At 48.4% G+C, this 22,775-nt stretch overlaps 1 protein-coding gene across 3 annotated transcripts in view, besides 2 other annotated features; it reads right to left on the minus strand.

Annotated features, from left to right (window-relative positions):
- Window positions 1-14,064, minus strand: part of ATP2B2 (ATPase plasma membrane Ca2+ transporting 2) — a 384,094-nt gene extending 370,030 nt beyond the window's left edge. For 2 of the 3 annotated variants that reach the window (XM_017006484.3, XM_006713175.5), the window contains exon 1: window positions 13,863-13,910. The gene's annotated coding sequence lies outside the window, so the exon portion shown is untranslated. Of the gene's footprint in view, window positions 1-13,862 lie in introns of all 3 variants that reach the window. The other variant, NM_001438036.1, reaches the window with a different exon arrangement.
- Window positions 13,964-14,465: an enhancer, noted in NCBI's record as "H3K4me1 hESC enhancer chr3:10749701-10750202 (GRCh37/hg19 assembly coordinates)". NCBI's record gives its function as "activates a minimal SCP1, AML or CMV promoter by ChIP-STARR-seq in naive H9 embryonic stem cells {active_cell/tissue: H9 hESC(naive)}" and the evidence as "EXISTENCE:reporter gene assay evidence [ECO:0000049][PMID:30033119]".
- Window positions 14,466-14,965: an enhancer, noted in NCBI's record as "H3K4me1 hESC enhancer chr3:10750203-10750702 (GRCh37/hg19 assembly coordinates)". NCBI's record gives its function as "activates a minimal SCP1, AML or CMV promoter by ChIP-STARR-seq in naive H9 embryonic stem cells {active_cell/tissue: H9 hESC(naive)}" and the evidence as "EXISTENCE:reporter gene assay evidence [ECO:0000049][PMID:30033119]".

The following is a 22,775-nucleotide window of genomic DNA, read 5'->3' on the forward strand; positions in this document are numbered from 1 at the left end:
CCTAGCCTCCCCCAAAGTTAACATTTGCATAAATAAAGTATAATACCAAAACCAAGAAATGGGCATTGTTACAATCCACAGAGCTTCTTCAGATTTCACTAGTCATACAGGCACCCATCTTTGTATGTGTCTGTGTGTGTGCACAAGTGCATATGTAGCTCCATGCAATTTTATCACATTACCTTTGCATAACCACCACCACTATCAAGGTACTCAACTGGACCATCACCACAAGACTCCTTCGTACTACCCCTTTACAGCCGAATGGCTCTCTCCCCCATCCCTAACCTTTGACAACCAGCAGACTGTTCTCATCTCAGTAATTAGGTCATTTCACTAATGTTACATAAATGACATCATGCAGTATGTAACTTTTTAGGACTGGCATTTTGCACTCCTCGAGGTTCATTCAGGTTGTTGTGTGTATCAATAGTTTGTTCCTTCTTATTGCTGAGTACTGTTCCACGGGGTGGATGGACCACAGCTGTTTAACACATGAATGTATTTTTAATTCAAGTAGGTGCTGCTGAATTGCCCTCAATGGGCTGTGGCATGAAAACTCTGACCAGCAGAGTATATGGCACCTATTTCTTCTCCATTCTCACCAATACTTGATAGCATCACATTTTTCAATTTCTGTCAGTCTGATGAGTGAAAATTGATCACTCATTGTTTGGGGATATACATTTTCCTGATTCTACCAATAAAACACTTCTGGAAAACTCTTTGCACATTAAGGGGATCTTGGGCATTACAAAGACTTAAGTAGGGATGTCTGCCTGCCCCCTTCCCCCCTCCCTCTCTGCTGACAGCCCTAGAGGTCAATGCTGATTTTGGCAGCTGTGCAAACTGAAGGTCTCTATGGCCCTAATTAATGGCTGGCCTGTATGCAAGCCATTTCCAGTGTGATGTTGTGGCTGCTTGTGATTAAAAGGGGAAGTCTATGTCCCCACTCTTTGAATTTTGGGTGACCCTGTGACTTGCTTTGGCCAACAGTGTCACTAGAAATGACACTGCTGTATGAGTCTGTTTTCATGCTGCCGATAAACATATACCCAAGACTGGGCAATTTACTGAAGAAAGTGGTTTAATGGACTTACAGTTCCACGTGGCTGGGGAAGCCTCACAATCATGGTGGAAAGCAAGGAGGAGTAAGGCACATCTTACATGGATGGTAGCAGGCAAAGGAGGGAGGGAGGGAGAGAGAGAGAGAGAGAGAGAGAGAGAGAGAGACAGCTTGTGCAGGGGAATTCCTCTTTTTAAAACCATCAGATCTTGTGAGCCTTATTCACTATCATGAGAACAGCACATGAAAGACCTGCTCCCATGATTCAATTACCTCCCACCGGGTCCCTCCCACAACACATGGGAGTTCAAAATGAGATTTGGATGGGGACACAGCCAAACCATATAAACTGCCAATTCTGAGCCTAGGTCTCAAGAGTCCTTGCATGCTGCTTGCTCTCTCTCTCTCATAACTCTACCACTGTTACGTGAACAAACACAGGCTAGGGCAGACACTACATAGAGTAAAGGAGAGTTGTCACAACTGAGGTCATCCCAGACCAGCCTAGAGCCAGCCAACCCCTAACCAAGTGAGAGAGCCCGCCAGGATCCACAGAGCTACCTACCTGACCTACAGCAGACTACAGACAAGTGAGAGAACCAGCCAGGACCAGAAGCATCATTTAGCTGACCTGTAGATTTTTCAGCAACAAGACATGCTTACTATTTTAAGATGCTGACTCTGGAGCAGTTTGTCACATAGCAATTGCTAATAGTGATACAGCAGTGCAGGAGGCAATCTTCAGCTAGACAAAGCTCCCTGAACATGGTGACATTCCCACAAGACAGATCTGAAAAAGTCTCTGGCAAAGTCAGTCTCAGATGTCTTGGTTGCAACATACAAAGTCCCACATAAGTTCCCCACCTCAATCCCAGCCCCCAGCCACCCACTCTGAGTAAGGAACTTGAACAACTTCTGTCAAAGATAGTTCTCGTCTTAACATAACAGTGGGTGAGAAACCCAAAGTGGTGAAACTGCCTCCTCCCCAGCCTCACCCTATGAAACACGGTGTTTGCAGATAAAAATACTCTTTCCCCTCCTCTCCAACATGGAAACTGTCCAGGGTCAGCCTCCCACACACTTCCACTCAATTTCTGACTCTGGTTATAAAACCTTGTGCCCAAAAATAGATTCCAAGGGGATTTCATAGACATGTTCTCCGGCATAATTGCAGTGTTCCTGCAAACTTTGGGGAAATTCAATTTCAGTCTTTGAACACACAGTCTTCAAAGCCCTGCCTCCCAGGTATTAAACATCAGGATGAGCTGCGATTGATTCCTCTCTCTCTCTCTCTCTGGTTCTCCCACAGCGAGGGCAGGTGTCAGATGCAGATGTTCTCCATGCTCTTCTGCCTCCTTTGGTTTCAGCCTTTCCTCTCCGTGCCCACCTCCAAATGGCCTGGCGCAGGGTTTCCGCAGCTGCCTGGACTTGCTGACTCTGTAGCCTCCTCTGGCTCCTGGTTGCTCTTCCTTCCATCCCCTGCCCTGCCTTCCCTCTGCTTCACAGCAACAAAGGCAGCCCTGACACCCCCTCACTCACTTCTGATCCCTTTAGTCATTGCAGCTCCCCCTTTCCACCTCACACAAGGGCAGAGTTTGGGCAAGAGAGAATGCTAGAAACCAACCATCCCAATCCCTTTACTTTTTGGGTGAAGAATGGAAAGCCAGACTGGCAGGAAAGCCAATGAAGTCAAGGTGAAATGTGGAGGTGGTAACCAAGATAGAATAGAAGCCCAGGGTCCCTGCACCAAGGAGTCGCCATTAGGTCTGGTTACCTACCAAGTTCCAAACCAATAACAACACTATTGATAGTAAGAATAGCTCCATTATTAAATTTTTATGATATGCTTGGTACTGGAAACATTGAACTATTATCATCATTTTACAGATGGAAAATTGAGGTACAGGGAAGGGAGTGTTTTCCCTAAGGTCACATAGCTGTTCACTGGCAGGGCAGGGATTTGAAGTCAGATTCGATGCCAAAGACCATGGCTCCTCAAGCCCACCCTGAATCCTATTACAAACACCTCTCCCATTGTGCTTTTTTTCCTCTGCATTTTCACTGCACCACGCCTTTCCTAGGCCTTCTTGTCAGTTTCCAGGCTTCCCTTTCAGTCACTCCACCACCTGCTGGTCTCATGTGGGCCCTGAATAGTCATCACAGCCCCTTTGCAGAAGGGAGCCAGCTTTTCAGAACAGATCTGTGCTGTAAGTCAGATCCTATGACCTCCTGGCTGTGTGACTTTGGGCAAGCAACCTCACCCTCTGAGCCTCAGCATCTATAAAATGGGGACAGAAGGATCTACTCCATAGAGACACAGGAAAGATGAGATAAAATAAGTATAAGGACAATACCCAACATACAGTAGGCCCTCCAGAAAGAGTCCCCTTTAGGCTCTATCGCACTCTCCTCCACTGTTTGAGGACAGAGATGTTTTTCTCCACGACATACCTCTGCCCATCTCTGGGGCCTCTTCCTATGGATGTATTCCCTGCTCCCCACCCCATGGCACATACAGTCTGCCTTAGAGGCCAGGCCTCAAGTCCAAATTTTTCTTAGGTTCTAGCATTTTCTCGACAACTAAATTGCAACATCTTTGAGGACAAAGCCATTCCTATGCTCTCTGAAGTACCTAAACCATCCCCTCAAATTGACAGGCGTGCAGCAAATCCTAAATCTCAGGGTTTGATGGAGAAACATCTACTGATTTCACTCACTCATTCGTTCATTCATTCAGCCAATACTTTTCTCAATACCTACCACGTGCCTTGCCCTGTGCTAGCCTTCAAGGGACTTGGGAAGGAATAAGTCTCAATCCTTGTTCTCACAAAGCTCCCTGCCTAGATGGGAGGCAGGAGAGTCAGCGTACAGTTGGGGCAGATGGTAGGGGCTGCTCCCCAGTGGACACTCCCTCCTACTTCCTGGCTGGCAGAGCCCTGACTGTGTCAGTTTCTGCCTGTGCTCTCAACTGACTCAGAGATAAGTCCTGGTCCATTTAATCCCTGCTGGGCTCATTCCTCGGCCATGATTGGTTTAGGCATGGCCACGTGACCCAATTCCAGCCAATGAGACACAAGAGGAGGTTGGTGGGGATGTCTGGAAAAGAATTCCTCCCTGATAAAAGAAACGCAGAGATACCTCCTGCCTTTTGTCCCTGGGGTGCTGTGAGATATTCAGGGGATGCTCTGGACAGGGATAATGCCTTCTGGTTGACAATGGCAGAAAGACAGAAGGACCATGGGTTTTGATGGCATGGATGAGCCACTGGGTTAACCAACTCCAGAGCTAATCCACCTTTGATTATGTGAGGTAAGAAAGGGCCATATGTTTAAGTCAGCTGAGTCAGGAAATCCAATTCACTGAAGTCAAAAGCAGGCTCCCTGGCTCAACAGTTAGTACACAATTGTTAACACTTTGACAATGACCTGCAGAACATCCCTCCTGGACCCTGACCAGCTCTGCCTTGCTTTGGGTGGTGGGGATAGGGAGTCTGAGGAACAGTTTCACAAAAAAAGTCTCATGTGACCAGTCTTCCTTTGCAAGGGTGAGCAGGAGCTGGCTTCCCACAAGATGGCATCTGCAAAGACTGGAGGCACGAGCCAGCCTGGGGAATGTGCAAAGGATAGGTTTGGAGTTGTGAAGAAGCCCACATACTATAATTGAGGACAACGGCTCCTTTTGCCACATCCTCTCCAGGCCTCGCTTTGCTCCTCTGTAAAATGGGGATGGAGACATTCCTTGCAGGGTGGTGGTGAGGCTCCAAAGGGACTGTGCACATAGAAGCACTTACAATTGCCTGACTCTACATAAATCATAACCGTCATCCACTCTTACCCTTCACCTGTGGGATGGTCTTCTAAAGCCCTACGGGCCTTGAAAACCAGCTCCTATTTCCTCCTCCCTCTCTTCTACTTCCTATATCCTGGTTCCCTCCGGCCTTCCAGCCCAGCCACAATCACCTATTCATCTTTCTTCTGTCAGACCCTTTGCAAGCTGCCCCTAAGCCAGGAAGGATTTCTTTACCTGATCATATCATAGCTCTCTTCTCTTCTTTCACCCTAAACAGTTCTCTTTGATTCAGTGACTCCACTTCTAGGAATTCATCCTCAGAAGATGCCTGGACATGTGTCCAGGGGTCCACATACAAGAATGTTCATCACAGTGTTGTCTATAATAGCAAAATTCTGGACACAACATAGGTGCCCATGAGAAAGGAATACATTAAGTAAATCATGGCAAAGCCACTTATAAAATATAAGGTAGAAGTATATTTATTGATATTTAAGATGACCATTATTACTGAGTGAAAGAAAGGGACAGAAAAACAGAATATCTATTTATCTATCAATCATAGAGAAATGTCTGGAAGGACATTTGACAAAATATTAATGGAGATTAGCTTTGTTTTGTGGTGTTTAATTAGAGTTTTACTTTCTTTTTTGTATTTTTCAATACCCCTTGAATTTTCCATAATCATTATATAACATCTCTATAATTGGGGGATGTGATAGTTTAAGTGTGTTCCCCAAAGTTCATGCATTAGAAACTTAATCCCCAATGCAACAGTGTTGAAAGGTGGGGCCTTTAAGAGGTGATTAGATCATGGGGCCTCTGACCTCATGAATGAATTAATGTTTTTATCTCCAGAGTGGGTTCATTATGGTGAGATTGGGTTTGTTTTAAAAGTGAGTTCAGCCCCCTTTTGCTGTCCTTCACGCTTGCCTTTCCACCTTCCACCATGGGATGATGCAGTAAATAGACCCTTGAAAGATGCCAGTGCCATGCTCTTGGACTTCTCAGTCTTCAGAACTGTGAACGCATACATTTCTCTTCTTATAAATAACCCGGTTTCAAGTGGTCTCTTACAATAGCACAAACAGACTAAGACAATGTGAAAAAAGCTACTTTTATTTTGAAAAGAGAAAAAATACATATATAGTTCCAGCTAAAATCAACCTACTTTGGGCAATCTTCCTGAAAGTCATGTGAGACAGGATTGGAGAGTGTGCTATACTTCTGATGACCTGGATCCCCCTCCATGACACCCACCTCTGCTTGGAAACTTTCTAGTGTGGTGAGCTCATTCCTGTGCCAGACCAAGCTCTATTGGTAACAAACTCGTTCACATTGCACAGGAATCTCACTCTCTGTCCTAAGTGTTCTGCCTTCTGTGCCTCACAGAAAAAGCCCAATGCTCCCCTCTCCCCCACACGCTTGTCTCCACCCAAGCCACTCAACAAATAACATGATTTCCTGCGATATGTCCCATTCTAGGCAGAGCATGAGTAAAGGCCTGGAGATGTGCAAACAAGTGTCCCATTTCAAAGATGTTGTGGACTTGTCAGGCATAGCATGGAGAGATGAGGACAGGGTGAAACTGGAGAAGTCAACAAATGCCATGCACAGTAGGGAGACTAGCCATTACCTTGCAGAGCTGTGTCTCTCCCCCATTTTGTGTTCGTAATACCTCAAACACTAACATTTTTGGCATCATTCTTGAAGGAATGAAAAGACTCAAAAACATCTCCAAACAAGTTGTGATTATTTCAGTCCATGCCCTACTGGCATCTGTTAGAATGGACTGAGTTATGCTCAGTAACAAACATGACCAGTGTGCCATAGCTTAAAACAAAGGCTTACTTCTCACTGATGCTACATGTCCATCATGGGTTGGCTGTGAGCTCTGCCCTGTGTCATTCTCACTCAGAGAACCAGACTGAGGGAGGTTCCATCTCCATGCTGCCTTGATTGCCAAGAGAAGAAATGGGGAAAAATAGCAAACAGCATGGTGGTTATTAAAGCTTCCATCCAGAAATGACACATGTCACTTTTCAAAGCTCATTGGCCAAAGTAAGGCATGTGGCTATGACTAATGTCAAAAGAGGTAAACCAATTCAATTTATCATGTGGCTAGAGAGTAAGGAACTGGAGATATTTCTATAGCACGAATGACTAACCAAACCAAATTAGTACACTAAAAAGAAGAGAGAGAAGAGGAAGAGGGGGAGGAGGAAGAGGACAAGAAAGGCACTGATTTGCTGAGAGAGTAGAACTTTCCTGGCCTCATGCTCTTATCTACTCCTGATGGCAGCGTTGGAGAAATTCCATTCAATGTGGCATCTGTCTCTATACCAGTCTCATATACGAAGCCTCTTATATCCCACCTATATGCTGCACCCTCCTTATACCCTCACCCTTCATGGTTCACCCAGTTCTATATTATGACTGCTAGATGTTCACTTCAACAGTTCATTTCTCCAAATAGCGCCAAAAGCAGATTTTTCAAGTTAATCACGAGTTGACAGCCTACCATGAGTTTCTGAGAAACACTGAACAGCAATCACTTAGGCAAGGTGGCCTCATCCTAGAGAGTTGTTTTCATTGTGGTTGTACCCATCGTTGTTGTTGAGGAGTGACAGTTTGTATTTCATAAGAAACGCATTCATCCAATGTACATTTATTAACCACCTACTATGTGCCCAGGTCTGAGGATGCAATTTTTTTTTTTTTTTAAGACAAGACCCATCATTTCTTTTGTTTGCAACTTAGGTTTGCTTCCTATTTCTCGGGTTGCAGAGCCCTCTGGAAGCCTGAGGAAAGCTATGCAGACCCTCTCCGTATGCCCCTGCGAAATGCCCAGCCTTACAGACTGTTATGTATGATGGAAGAAAGGTGGTCACAGGTTTTAGCACAAACATCTCCAGTCCTCTATCACTCTTCACACACATCTACTATGTGCCTACGTCTGAGCATACAAATTTTTTTTTTTGAAAAAGAAAAGAGCCAGTCAGTCTCACCTTCTGCGAAACATAGTGACAACTGGACAACAGATACTGAGGCCCAGTTTTACTTTTTTGGGTACTCCTTGTTCTTCTCACAACCTCCCCCTTATCAGGGCCTAACATTTCACTGTTTTCCAGTCTCCCAACCTCATGAAGCCAGGAAGTAGCTGATAGCAACATCTTCATACCAGTGGGCTTCCCGCTACCCAGAGTGGCTACCACAGCAGTGAGAGCAGCTTGGAACTGAAAACCCAAGGAACGGATTTGAGATCTGGCTTCATTAATGAGTAGCCACCTTGTAGGGGAAAGGAAGTGGTATTTAGCCACATCACAGGCTTGCTGTGAGGACTAGAAGGTAAAAATTATATGTGAAAAGTGCTCTGTAAATTACAAGGTGATCACGATAGTAACACTAATAGCTGACATCCGAAAGTGCTTACCGCGTGTGCCAGGCACTATTCTGAGACTTTGACTTGTCTTAGTCCTTGTCATTCTCCCAAAAGTACTCATGAGGCAGGCACTCTTAGGATCGCTTTTATAGATGAGGAAACTGAGACAGACAGAGCTGAAGCCACTTACCCAAGATCACAGCGACACAATTAGAAAGCACTGACTCGTTCCCAGGCAGAATGGTATAGAGAGGATGGAGCATCGCACAGGTGCAGCTCATTGCTGATGTTTGTCTTTGCACACGGACACACTAAAAGGACCTGTTCAGCCTTTCCAGGTTCATCTGCTTGCACGGTCATTCACTTGGGCTCTGCCCAGCACAATCTTTGGTCATTTTCCTAAGTCCCACTTTTTATTTTTAAATAAGGAACCGGGTCATTACATCTCCCCAGAATCCTGCCTAGATGTTATGTTACAGTGTCACAGTATTTATAGCACCTGAGCTGCTGCTGGAAAAAACAGGGAGGCATTTTCTGTCCCTGTCATATTCATTCTCCTAAGACCAATGGATATTCCCTTTACTCTGTAATGAGATTAGCGGAGGCTTGTGCATTCCCCCACTCCCATCATTCCTTTTCTCTGTAATTTAGGTCTGCTTCCTATTTCTCGGGTCACAGAGCCCTCTGGAAGCCTGATGGAAGCTATGCAGCCCCTCTCCTTATGGCCCTGTGAAATGCCCAGCCTTACAGACGGTTATATATGAGGGAAGAAAGGCGGTCACAGGCTTTAGCACGAACATCCCCAGTCCTCCGTCATTCTTCAAAGGTCTCTCCCCTGGAGACAATCCTCAGCGGCTCACTCCAGCCTTTGCCCGCCCCTTTCCTGGCTCCACCCTCAGGAGGCGGGGTGTCTTCTCTTATTGGTCAACATGGGAAGAGGGATGGGCTACAATCAGCGTCTCTGCCCTTTCTCCTCCTGGGAGGGAGTCCTGCGCGCAGAAAGCTTGTCCTGGCTGTGCCCTCTGTACCTGAGTGAAGCCTACCTGGGCAGGACCTCCACATGGTCTTCCTTCTAGGGAATCAGTTAGTAGGCCCCCATTTGACCCTCACCCTCACATGAAGCCAGGACCTCCAACTTTGCTTCTATTCTATTAGGGAGAAAATTTATATTCGGCTCCTCTACCTGCCACTCATTTGTTCCTCAAATTGTTGGAGGAGTGTGGAAGAGAGATGCTATTTATGGGGCCCACTCCCACACCATCCCAACATCTGCCATTTCCTAGAACTCCGGATCAGCACACACCTTTTAGCCCGCACAGCCATTCTACTTGAGTGATTCTGGCTGGGCAGTTTATGGAAATCTCTTCGAGTCTCAGTTTCCTCATCTGTCAAATGGGGATTGTAATAACCATGTTTTCTAGCTTCTGCATTTGATGCTTTGACATCTGGGGCCTTGCTAACCCTGGAGGGGCTGTCCCTCCCAGAGAGAGCCAATTACTTGACATAGTGAATGACTGGCCCATGAGGGCCCCTTTCATAAATGCTCAGCCCATCTTCCCAACCGCTTCCTTTATGGAACCCCTGCCCACTGGGCCACACTGCCCTGCCCTAGTCACCCGGGGGCAGGTACCATACTACTAGGAACAGCCACTGTGTCCCAGAGCCTGCTGAAACTATTCAAAGTAGCCAACCCCGAGCCTGCTTACCCTGCCTCACCCATCCCTCCCTGTGGAGGCCACAGTAAAGGCTCTTACCCCATCTTCCCCTCACTCCCTCTGCCTCCTGACTGACCCTAGGGCTTCCCCATGTGGCCCTGTGTGGCATAGCATGTCCTCGCCTCTTAGGAATCTCAAGTAAAATTCTTTTTAGAGGCCATCATTTCCTGAGTGGTTGGCCTCGCCATAACTGAATAATAATAAAACCTATATTTTAAAATGATGATAATATCACCTACGTCTTAGGACTGCCATGAAAATAGATACACATGGAAAAGCATCTCACATAGCAAGTGGCATATGGCAGGGGCTTAAAACCATGCTAGTTTCTCTTCTCTCTGCCCTATCCATAGCTCTTCTCTTCTTTCTACCTTTTTCTTCACCCACCTCTTCCCTGCTGTCTCCTTCCAAGTATCAGCTACCTAATTTGTGGGACCCAGTACAAAATAAAAACGTGTAGCCCCCTGTTCAAAAACTGCTAAGAATTGCAATACGGTGACTGCAGAGCATTAAATCTAGCGGGAAAGCCCTTCTTAGCACAGGCCACACATCCACAAAGCTGGCCCTGCTCCCTCCTCCTTCCCGTCCAATTCTCTTCTGCTTCCCAAATATTTCTAGCCTGATTTTTCAATCCCAAGGCCCCAATAGTTAGCTCCCTTTTTTGGGTTCAGTTAGCAGATTCTAATTTTTAGATACCATAAAGCTTCAATAATTCCACTTAATTGGAGAGGGTGGAAAGGAGGCCAGTTTGAATTAATGAAAAGTCTGAGAAATAAGACATTACTAAAGAAATGCAGTTTTATTACTCTGCAACAGATTTATATGACAACAGGGGAGATACAAAGAAGATGGAAGGGAGGAGGAAGTTAGAGTTTCTTGTATGCAATTTAACACAAAGAAAAGATTTAATTTATAATAAGCATATTCTCTTATTTGCAAATTATGCTACTAAAAATCCTCTCCCTTAAGTAGGTTAATATTTCTCTTGCTGGCAATCAGTTTGCTTAGTGAAACTGTTCTGCTGTTACAAATGCTAGCAAAATTCTTCTGCAGTGATTCCATATAACAAAAAGATTTCCATGACCTTTCAGGCAGTCCATAGTATGGACTGGGTTATAGCAAATTCTTATCAAGAGAAATCCTGCACAACAAATTCTCTCTTTGCTCTCTACCTACAGAACAGTCAAATCTTCCAAACATCCTTCTAAAATTCAGAACTTACCATGTCCCATAGCACCAGGCTTAGACTTAATCTCTGCTGACTCCTGCTGTTTCAGACCTAACTCTTGTCCTGTTGCCATTGGATCTGGACCTATTGTGGGGGTGGTATTCCTAAATAGATCGTATACCCCTACACCTCCAAGCCCTAGCAACCTGGACCTGTAATGTCCTCCCCACAGTCTGTCAAAGTCATAACTCATGTTTCAAGGTCCAGGTTACAGGTTTCCTGCTCCAGAAAGCTGCCTCTGATTTTTCCAGGCAGACTCTGTCTGCTCCCACTGCACATCTATTACATCGTTTGTGCTACTGCCTACAAGTCCTCTTGGAGACAGTGCAAGCACTTGGACTCTGGGTCTCACCCATTTCTAGGGAAGCATGGTAGCCCAGCAGGTCAGTAGCAGAGGTGGTCCCAGCTCTACTACTAACCAGCTGCATGTAGATGGTAACACCGGCTTCATAGCATTGTGAGGATTAAATCAGATGAAACCCCAAAAGCGCTTCGTACACAGCCTGGCAAAAAATAATTGCTCAAAAAATATTAACCTTTCTCCCCAGACACTGGTATATAAACTCCACAAGGTTGCAGAGTGGCCCTGCAGCCCAGTGTGGTTGGACCTTCCTGGTTTATGCTCTGTGGTCCTGGTATTTTTATTAATCGTGCCCTCTCTCACTCTCAAGGTATCTCAGTTTGGATGACAAACTATATAGCCGGCCTACGTAGCTGGGACCAGGTCTGTTTTATTTAGTAATATGCCTCTGGCACATCAAACAGTGCTGAGCACATATTAGGTTCTTAATACAAATTTATCAAATGAACAAATGAGTGTGTCTCTGAGAGTGCTTAGTAAGTGCTTGCACCTGGTAGGAGCTTGATTTCCGCTAGCTGTGGTTGATCTCTCTGTATTTCTAAGTGCCTCCTGACTCACAGAAGGCAAGAATCAAGGCTTAGGGAGTGAGTGAGTGAGTGAATGAATGAATGAATGAATGAGCCTCACCCCTCTGCCATCTCCTCTGTTGCCAATAGTACCCCTGGGGGAAGGAATGACCTCGCACAGAGGTGTGGAGAAGAGTGGTACAGATGGAGGAGGACTGAAGATGATGCTGTTCCCACCAGACTGTATGCAGAGGGGGCCTCTTCCTGGCGCCATGGCTGGGTTTTGTCGTCATTTCCGTTAGACATCAGGTATTGGTTTCTCCCATGGCAGCAGCAGGAAATCACAGCCCAGAGTTAGCCCACCCAGTGGCTCCAGTGGGCTTCTGAGGGCATTGGGATATCTTGTCTCTACCTAACATTCTATAGACAGGCACAGATGCTCAAGAGCCCAGCAGGTGCTGCCCCCTACCAGCCCACACAGAGAAGAGGAAGGCCACGGGAATGATTAACCCTCTCTGGCTTCCCTTCCAGGGCTCAGAAAGGAAATTACACCAGCTGGTAGCCAAAATGTTTTGGATACAGACCATACACTAAGCATGGGCATAACAGTGAGAACTTTAAGAATATTAACTCATTCAGCCATTAGAGTAGCCCTAGAAGGTGGGGAAACTGAGTCAGAGAGGGGAAGCGACTTGCCAGAGGTCACACAGCTAGTAAGAGACAGTGTCCCAGAGCCCAAATCCCTCAGATGTAGGAACCAAACAGCAGTCCTCTCCATCCACTCTAACCCGTTATAAGAAAGCCCAGTTTTCACTCCTGCCCCCTGCTGTGTGACCTTGAGGCCAACTCACCCTCTCTGGGCCTCATGTCCCTTTCCCAAGGCTAATGTTCTAGGAAGCAGTGCTTCTACAGCTAGGACATCACCAAAGGCCAGAGTATCCCGTCCTCCTGAGGCCTCAGGGCAAGGAGGGGTGGCCAGGCCCTGGGTGAGTCCCAGTGTCCCGAAACATGCTATACTGGCTCGTCCTGAGGGCCTGAGGCAACTGCCCAAGTCCACCTTCCGAAGGAGGCTTAGGCACTGGGCTGAAAAATCACGCTGTGGATCTGAGGACCCACTGAATGTGGGACTTCCGAGCTCTTGTGTCACCAGGTGGGGGACCCGTGCGTGCTTGGGGTTAGGGCTGTGGCCAGGGGGGCCAGGAGGAGGGGAGCTAGGAAAAGGTGAGGCTGGAGATGCGGAGAGCACTTGGCAGAGATGCTCTCCTAGCTCTCCTGGCTCCTGTGCTCTTAGCAGCTGCAAATCACGTTTGGGGAAGGGAGAAGCCCCCAGCCTAGGGTGAGTCTCTGCAGCTCTCAACCTGTCCCGAGCCTGCAGGAACTAGAGCCAGGAGAAAGGGGGCCCCCACACTGAGGAGAAGCCAGGTGGGGAAGTCGGAGCCATCTGGGAAGAAGAAATAGGGGGTTCTAGCGTCCCGGACGCCCCCCCAGCTCCGGGGCTGCTCCGAGCCCGGAAAGTTTTCGCGCAGCAGGCGCAAGGCGCGCCCCCTTCCCTCACCCGCAGGCGCCGGGTCCGCGGACGCCCACCCCGGCCCGCCCCGCCCGCCGCCTGGTGCCCGCTCAAGGTCACTGCTGACAAGGCGCCTGCCTCCGCGGGGCGAAGGGACCAAGACACGCTCCGGCTCACGCTCCCGCCCTGGCCCGGCGGGGGTCTCCGGGGCCGAGCGCCCGCGGAAGGGAAGCCAGCAGGGAAAGTGACAAGAGACCGAGCGAGAGGGGAAGAGGCCCAGAGCCCGGGCCCGGCCGCCCCTGCCTCACCTGCGCCGGCTCCGAGAGCGAGATGCTGCCGCCGCCGCTGCCGCCGCCGCTGCCGCTGGTGCGCGCCCGGCCCGGCCCGGCCCCGCTGCGGCTGCGGCTCCTCTGCCGCGGCTGCCCCGCGCTCGCCTGCCCCGCGGCCCCGCCGCCGCCCGCCCGCCTCCCTCCCTCCGCCGCCGCCTCTGCCACCGCTGCACTGCGCTCTGCCCGCCTCCCCCTCCCGCCCTCCCTGCTCACTCCTCCCCGCGCGCTCCCCCTCGGCCCTCCCCAAACTCCTCACGGAGAGCGCCCCGCGGGACCGGAGCGCGCGGTCCCGCCCGCGTCCTCCTCCGCGCGCACCAGTGGGGCTGCGGGGAAGGGTATCCAGTCTTGCCCCGGGGCGTGTCTCCAGGTACCTCCATCAGCACAGGCCCCTGTCCCCGCCCCACCCCCACAGCCAGCCTGGCCCTGGGAGGCATCCTCCCCATTCTTCCCCAGGGGTCAGGGTGCCCCAAGCCTCCCCAGCACACCCGAGCCTGTGAACTGGCCACACGGGGTGGAGCGAATTGGCTGTGGAGTGAATTGGGTGTGGAGTAGGCAGATAGGGAGACCCGCTTTGGAGGAGGGGACCGCTGGTCCAATCCCTGGGAGCTTAGCCTAAGGGCCCTCAGAGGCGAGAAAGGTTAGGGCAGCAGGCAAGGACACGCTTAGCCCCCCAGCCTCCAGTCTGGCCCTGCTTAGGGCCAGGAGGAGTCCAGGACAGTGGCCCTGCCTGAGGAGAAAGTTGAAAACCCCAGACACGCACCGAAAGCACCTCCCCAAAGCAGGCTTCCCCTCCTTGGCTCAGGCCCCAGGTCTTGAAAAGCCGAGCTCCACCAGGAAGCCAGGCCACCTGACTCCCAGTGCCTGGGTCTGCTCCATACCATCAATTAATCATGCCGGCTTGTTTATTTATTTATTGGCTTTATATAAAGCCAAATGCACTGCTCGCAGGAAGTGAGGAGATGGGGAGGGGAGGGCCTGACCATAGTAATTCCCCTTCCCAGGCCTTGCTCTGACGAGTTGAAGAGCTTGGGGGGACCCTGGGGTCTCAGTATCTGGAACATCTGCTTCCTGGGAGTGGCAGGGATGCCCATTCATAGGGCCAAAATTCAACATGGCCTGCTCTCTGCAGCCCTGGGATGGGGCAGAGGACATTCACGCCTGGAGGCTTAGGCATAGGAAGGAGAGAGGGGGCCAGGGAGGCCAGTGGAGAAGGCGATCCAGCAGGTGTGACAGGGGTGTCTCCAGGCCCTTCTTGGCCCAGAGCACTCCCTTCTCGCTGCTTGGCGCTCAGCTTGGCAGGCAGCACTTGCATCTCCTGCCGCGGCCCTGTCCTCTCCCTGGGCACCCAGAGGACATCACCCCAGGGATGCACCCAATCCATATCTCCTCCCACCATCCTCGTGCCAGCTAATGGCACTGCAGTGCCTCCAGATGGCCAGCTCCAGGCACTGTCCCTCAGCCCACCCCAGCACCATGTCCTCCCTGACGGGGCCTGGAATCTGCTCTTCTCTCTGTTGAAGGGCTCTTCTTCAGGTCCCTGACACCTCTTTTCTGGACTCTCACAGCGCCATCCTCTCTGCCTCCATTCTGCTGCCACGCTAGCCTTCATCATGCCCAGTCCTGCTCTAAAACACTTCATAGCTCCCCAGTGCTCTCAGAAGTCTCACAGCCCCAGTATGCCATGCAGGGCCTTTCACACTCTGGCCTCAAGTGCCCTTTCCACTCCTTCCCCACCTGGGTTGCCAGTGCCCCTCCCAGCACACCCTTAGCACTGTACCATGTCTTCCTCTCTCTTCTTTTCCTCCTGTGAAATGCCTTTCTCCTCTCTCAGTCTCTGCCCAGCCACAATGCTGAGGCTTGGCCTTAATTACTATCTTTTATGAAACCTTCTGAAACCAGCAAGCAAATTGAGAAGGCAAAAAGAATAGGCATGAAAAGCCGCACCATGAGAGGTAGCTCAGTGCAAAAGTGAGTGACACCACAAAAGTCCTAGTGACAAAACTCACCTTGGGCATAGCTTCAACTCTGAGCCCGTTGGTTCATCTGTTAAAAGGTGATAGGTTCCACAGCCTCACCCAGGATAAGCACTCAGTAAATGGGGGCTACAGTTCTTTTTCAGCATCTACTGTATGCCAAGGCTCTGAGATTTATAGATTATTGGGTAGGGACTTGGGGGATGGCAGGGATTTCAAACTCAAATATGTAGAAGGACCAGGCATTACCTAGGGAGGTGGGCTGGTTCTGGCTTATGGCTTTCTCCTCTGGAATCTACCAATAAGAAAAAGCAACAGTGTATGTGAGGTGGCAAACAGCAGCAGGCACTGGCTCTGTATGGGGAGGTAATAGGGAGTAGTGCGGACTGTGGCATCTGTGGTGTCAAATGGGTACAGCCACTACCCAACTCCACTGGATGGTGGCTAAGCAGGGATGTGGGCCTGGACTGCCAGTTTTCCATTTTTTTCCAGAGAAGGTGGACATCTGGATTTCTATGTGAATACTCTTGGTTTTTAAATGTCACCAACTGATAAAAAAAATTTTAAACTTTGAGAAGGTCAAACAGAGTTATAGCTGCCATAGTTTTGGCTAGCAGGCTGGCAGCTGCTGGGCTCTGGGTGAATAGGTGGAAGATCAATGTTGTTCATGACACACACAGACATACACACACAGCCCTCTCCTCACTCTGGCGGGATGTCGGGGGTCATGTCCACCTCAGACATGCAGAAGTCATGGGAATGGAGTGGGAACAGCACCTCACTGCAACTGACAGGAGTGGGAAGGGTGGGAGGTGAGGGATCAAATCCCAGTCCTTGTTCTGGTTCTGTCCCTACTGTGTGTGGGAGCTTAGACAGGTCAGCTGTCCTTGCTGAGCCTCAGTGTCCTTCTCTGAGAATGGGCAGGCAATGTGTGTGTGCGTGTGTGTGTGTGTGCACTCGCACACGCAGAATTACCCGGATGGAGCAAAGGTTACGCGAGGTGACCAGCATGTGCAGACTGAGGCCACAGGAGGCTCCACTGCCAACATAGACACACATCTGGTCATGAGGAAGCTGCAACAATCTGGCCACCCAGGAGAAGTCTCAGTCCACTAAAAATAGGGCCCTGACACTCTTAAAACCTGAGGCCTTCTTGAGAGATGGTGAGGGCAGCAGGCAATGGGGGAAGTGGCCACTTTCCTCTGCAGGATGAGGAAGAGACGGGGAAGCGGCTGGTGCTTGGTGAGCAGGTGCACCTGTCATCCCCAAGTTCATAAAGAGAAGAGAAAGGAGCCCTGGTTCCCATCAGTCTGTAGCAGAAGCAGGGGATGGAAATACCCGAGAACAAAACTGGGAATGGCGGGGTGGTCCCAGGGCCAGACTTGGAAAATATGCATGGGGCCTGTGAATGCCCCTTAAACGTGGTTTTCATGTGCTGGAGCTAAAGGTGACTTTAAAAATATGCTAGTTCCCACAATGACCATGCGCTACTATTGTAGCCACAGTAAAAGTGTGTGCCCACACCCAAAATATCATTCTATGAAGCAAAAGGGAGGCATCTAAACTAATTGATAAGCAAGATGTTCATATGATGGAAGCCACCTTTAACACAACGTTCTCCAAGCTGGATTTTCACCTAATTTACCAGGAGAACTTGTTACCAGAATCTGGAAAGAGATTCCTGGCCCTGTGCAGGTCTCCTGAGTGGCAATCTCCAGGGCACGGAGGCTGGAAATGTGTTTCTGACACCCCACCCCACTATGATCAAGAAAGTTTGGCTCAACTCTAAGCAGGCATTTCTCGAGCAGGGGTTAAAAGAATTACAAGCCAGGTCTTTCCCATTAAAAGACTCTAAATGTGGCCAGGAAACTTCAGTTCCTCCTAAACAAGGCAGGATGATATGCTCAAGTTACAAAGTGCCACCAACAAAGATTTAACAGGGTTTTCCTCCCAGGGAGAATGTGGGTTAGAGAGGAGGACATTCTACTCTATTTCAGATCCTGTTACAACAATATTTCTGTGTTTTACTGGTGCAATTTAAAAATTTAAATAAAAAGGACAAATACACCAAGTGCTGACATAGCCTGGGAAAGGAGTAATTAATTCTCTAAATGGCCAGTGGGGAAGACTTCAGAGGTGGAGTTTTAGCTGGGTTTTAAAGAAAAAGTAACAAAATGACAGAAACAATCATTAAACTCTGTTAAATGTCAATTACTCTTCTTAGTATTTGAAATATACTGATTTCATCCCCCCAGCAATGCTATAGAGCAGGTGTTTGTGAGCGAGGCTATTGATACCCCAGCCTCCCCAGCCCCTAGCTCTGTGGAGGTGCCAGCTTCTCACACTTGCTCCCTTCTCCTGGGGATGTTGTCCTTGGCTTACAGGAACCACTGGGTGGCAACAGCCTCCGCACCTCTGCGGTGCAATTCACACACCTGTCGTCCGCATGGGATCAGGCTGAGAGTGGACTTCTCTGGGAACCTCATCTTCGCTGGCCCCTATCCTGCCTGTCTTCTTCTACTATAGATTTCTCCTGTGAGCATACCCCCAGTAAACCCCACACATAAGCATCCCCATCTCAGGCTCTGCTTCTGGGGAACCTGACTTCAGATCATTTTCCCATCCCCATTTTGCAGTTGAGGAAACAAAGTCACAGATCAGCAAAGGCACTGATCTAGAAAGGGGAAGAGCCAGGCCAGCTGACTCCCATCCATCCTAGAAGGATGTTTCTAAGAGCACAAGGAAACAGGAGCAAGGCATGTCAGGCAGACAGAGCACATGATCGGGGCACGGAAACGCATGGAAGGGAAGGGGTGTGAGGGGTGTAGGGCAAAGTGAGGCACAGGGGAGAGGCAGGAGGGAAGGTGAGCTCGCAGCATAGGTTCTGGGAGCCGAGCTGAGGATTCATCCATCCACTGATCCAACACACGTGTTCCTGGGCTCATGGGGAGCCCAGGAAAGAAGATGGACCCACACAAGCTCAGGTTTGCACAAACCCAAATGTTCAGGAAAGCAAACCTGGGCCATTTTAGCTGGGTTCTATAGTAGGGGAAGGTAGGCACAGATAGAGATGGTGGTGGTGGTTGAGGGGTGGGGCTAGAAATAAGGGAAATGCATTTGACTGCACTTCTGCAAGAAAGAGTATGACCATTTGGCTGAACCTAGGCCAGTGTGGCATGGAAGGCCAACTCTGGCTCATGGATATCTTAAAGGGCTGATAGCACCATGGGACTGTGTTTATTAAGATGGAATTAAATGAGGACAAAGAGCCTGTCCTGATTTGTGGTAGTAAGGTTGCAATCCCTCAAGTTCAGATGGAAATCTCCATCTAACTTGAAAGCCATGTATTTGACGGAGAACACTGAGGACTTAAATTGACCATAGATTTAATATTTGCCAGAGTAGCTGCTGGAACGGTGAGTGCAGTTGTAAGCAGGAAACCTTGTCATGTCAGAAAACTGCAGACAACACTGGGGATGGAGAGGAGTCTGCAGGCTGTGTGTGTGGATTGTGATGTCCCAGACAGGCCAGATGCATTCTGTGGGTAGAAAGGGTCGAAAATGGCTACTCAGAGATCAGACTGCTGCCTCCAAAGGGCAGGACCTTTCTGAGGGCTTAGGTTGATCCCCTTTACTGGGTGGGACCCCAAGAAGTAAAAGGAAGAAGGTGGAGGTGAGGAGGGCTGCTAAGTCCAGGGGAGGAAGAAGGGCTTTTCTCCGATAAATATTTGGTCTTTAGACATCATCTTTAGAGAAGATCTAGCATCCTTTTGATGGGGTGACTTTGCATGGCATCCAACAAAGGTGCTGGTATTGCCTCATTCCAATCTTCTGGGCAAACGTGTAACTCTTTGCCTGATAACCCTTTTCTGACAGCAGACACACCATCAGCCCACATACTGGGCAAGCCAGACCTGGTGGAGAGTTGGTACCCGCTGTGAGCAGCCCTCAACAAGTAACTGATGGGAGTTGTTGTGTACATTCTCCAGCTCCCTCGCCCTCGGGGAGGATGACTCTGAGGCCCCGAGGACCCTGGTGGGACTGAGCTCCGGTGGCCCCCAGTGGTGGGTTGCTTAATGATGCATCCTTTGTTGGCCTTTCCTCCCTGCCACTCCTCTCCCCTCACTGGTATTTTCTGGAATCAATTCGCAATTAAACTGCTTGTACTTGAATCCTTGTCTTGGGGTTTGTTTATGGGGAAACAAAATCCAGGAGAGCATCATAGTTAAACTTTGAGTTGTTTAAGGATATCTTAGAAAGCTTCACAGAGGAGTTGGATTAAATTTTGTTTTATACCCTAAAACTGCAATAATTATACTAGTGTGGTCTTGGTGCATGAAGAGATAGACATACCAGTAGAACAGAATAGAAAGTCCAGAAATAGGCTCCAGTTCACCCAGGACGTTAGTATATGATAAAGGCAACATCTTGAATCAGTGGGGTGTAAATACTTAATATATGATGTTGAGACAAACAGGTGATCATGTGGAAAAGGATGGTTCGATCCATACACCATACACCAATGCACACCCCTTGAAATGCCATGTGGACCAAATGTCAAGTGGATCACAATTTTTATTTAATTTTAATTTAATTGCAAAAGCATGGAGGCAGGAAGTGTCAAAGTTTGGGCAAACTTCTTTAAAAATTTGGAGTGGGTAAGGCCTTTCTGATACTCAAAAATTCAAAATCCAGAAAAGATAAGATTGATTAATTTAACAAGATTTAAAAAATCTTTTAAAATTCTATGTGGCAAATAAAACAAAAGACAAAAAATAAATTGGAAAAAATGTATTGCAAAGGTTTAATAACCACAATGTATAAAGAACGTCTAGAAATCAAGATGGAAAAGATCAGCAATCTAATAAAAAATGGGCAAAGGACATGAACAGGCAGTTTCCCCCGAAATAAATCCAAAAGCCTTTTAAATATCTATAAAGCTGCTCAAGCTCCCTTATAAGAGTAATGTATTTAAAAGCGCACTGATAGATCATATGAGTCTGATGCAAGCTATCAGTGAGGCTTGGGGAAACGTGTGCTCTCATCCTTTGCAGGTGGGAATGTGTAACTCTGTTCAGCTCCATGGAGGGAGCTGTGCAACATCTGTCAAAATGATAACTGCAGCTACTCTGCAATCCAGCAACCCCACTTGGAGAAATTTGTTCCATGGATACACCAGTGCACACCTGGAACATGCTATTCCTGCAGCATTGTCCAGAATAGTAAAGGGCTGGAAACACCCCCAAGAGGCCATCAGCTGGAGACATGGTAGATAAATGATGGAACATTTACACAGTGAAATACTCTGCAGCTGTATAAAGAATGAGGAAGCTCTGTATTCAGTGATGGGGAAAGAGTGCCAGGCTCTCTTGAACAAACAAGATGCAAACCAGTATATATCAGTATATGTAACATTCTTTTTAAAAATGGCTTTATTGAAATATAATTTACATATTATAAAGTTCACTCATTTAAAGTAATAATTCAATGACTTTTACTATATTTATGGAGTTGTGCAACCATCACCATAATCTAATTTCATAACATTTTTGTCATCCCCCAAAGAAACTTTAGTGTAAGAAAGGGAGGAAAATGAGAAAATACACACATACACACTAACACAGACACACACACACTCACACATACATATACACACACACAGGTCCATACACACTCCATACATCTCTGCATGTGTTGCACTGCATGTGTTGCACAGGTAAACTCCAGAAAGGTACAGAGGACACTACCACAGGTAGGGTTGGGAATTGTAGGTTCATGTGACATGCTGGAGCTGAGTGTGGTGGGAAGGGCTGGTGGGAAATGAGCCGGGATGAGCCAGCTGGGGCCATATTGTTTAAGGCCTTAAATATCAGGCCAAAGAATTTGGATTTTGTTTCCCACAGAGTCCATGCTGTCCAAAAGAACTTTCTGGGATGAAGTATTCTGTATCTATCCTGTCCAATATGGTAGCCACTAGCCACATGAGCCTATTGAGCCCTTGGGATGTGGTCCATGTAACTGAGGAACTGCATTTCACATTTTATTTAACCTTAATTAATTTACCTTTAAATAGCCATCTGTGGCTTGCAGCTACGGAATTGGACAGCACAGCATAGACCATGGGGAGCCATCGAAGGTTTTGCAGGTGAGGAGTGACACAGCCAGAAATTAGTTTCAGAAAGCTGGGAAAGGATAGATTCCAGGAGAGCAGATGGAGGCTGCAGACAGTTGGAGAGGTGGCCATGGCAACATCACACAGAGAAGGGGAACACTGACCCAAAGTAAGCACCCAGGGCTGGATAAGAAGGGATGGGTTTGGGAAACTTTTAGAAGGGAATATAGATAAGTCGATGGATGTGAGGGTGAGGAGAGAGTTGAGGACGACTCTGCTGTTCTTGTCTTAGTAGCTAAGGGGATCTTCTCCCTCTTCCCCAGCTTCACCTGGCTCCAGCCACACTGGCCTCCTCCCTGTTCCCCCAACACCAAATGCACTTATTCAGATCTCAGCTTTCATCTTGTCTTCTAAGGACAGAAGGCACGCTCTATCTTTCTGTGGCCTGCATCTTTCCCTGAGGGCCCTGCTGTCAGGCCTGTATTTTTCCTCCTCCTGTTGGGAGGGGACTGCATCTTTTGGTCCTCTTCCTCTTCCTGCTAGGAGGGGGCTGTGTCTTTTTTGTCCTCTTCCTCCTCCGGTTGGGAGGGGACTGAGTCTTTCTGGAGCTCTTCCTCCTGTTGGGAGGGGGCTGTGTCTTTTTGATCCTCTTCCTCCTCCTGTTGGGAGGAGACTGTATCTTTTTGGCTCACTTCTGTATCCTTACTGCTTATCACAGAGCCTGGCATGGAGCAGGCCTCTAAACGTAAGTGGAGATGAGTGAATAAGGTGATAGGAAGGAAGGGTTGAGAAAACCTTTTTACCCCAG

This window comes from Homo sapiens, chromosome 3 (assembly GCF_000001405.40).
Source record: "Homo sapiens chromosome 3, GRCh38.p14 Primary Assembly".
Lineage (NCBI taxonomy): Eukaryota > Metazoa > Chordata > Mammalia > Primates > Hominidae > Homo > Homo sapiens.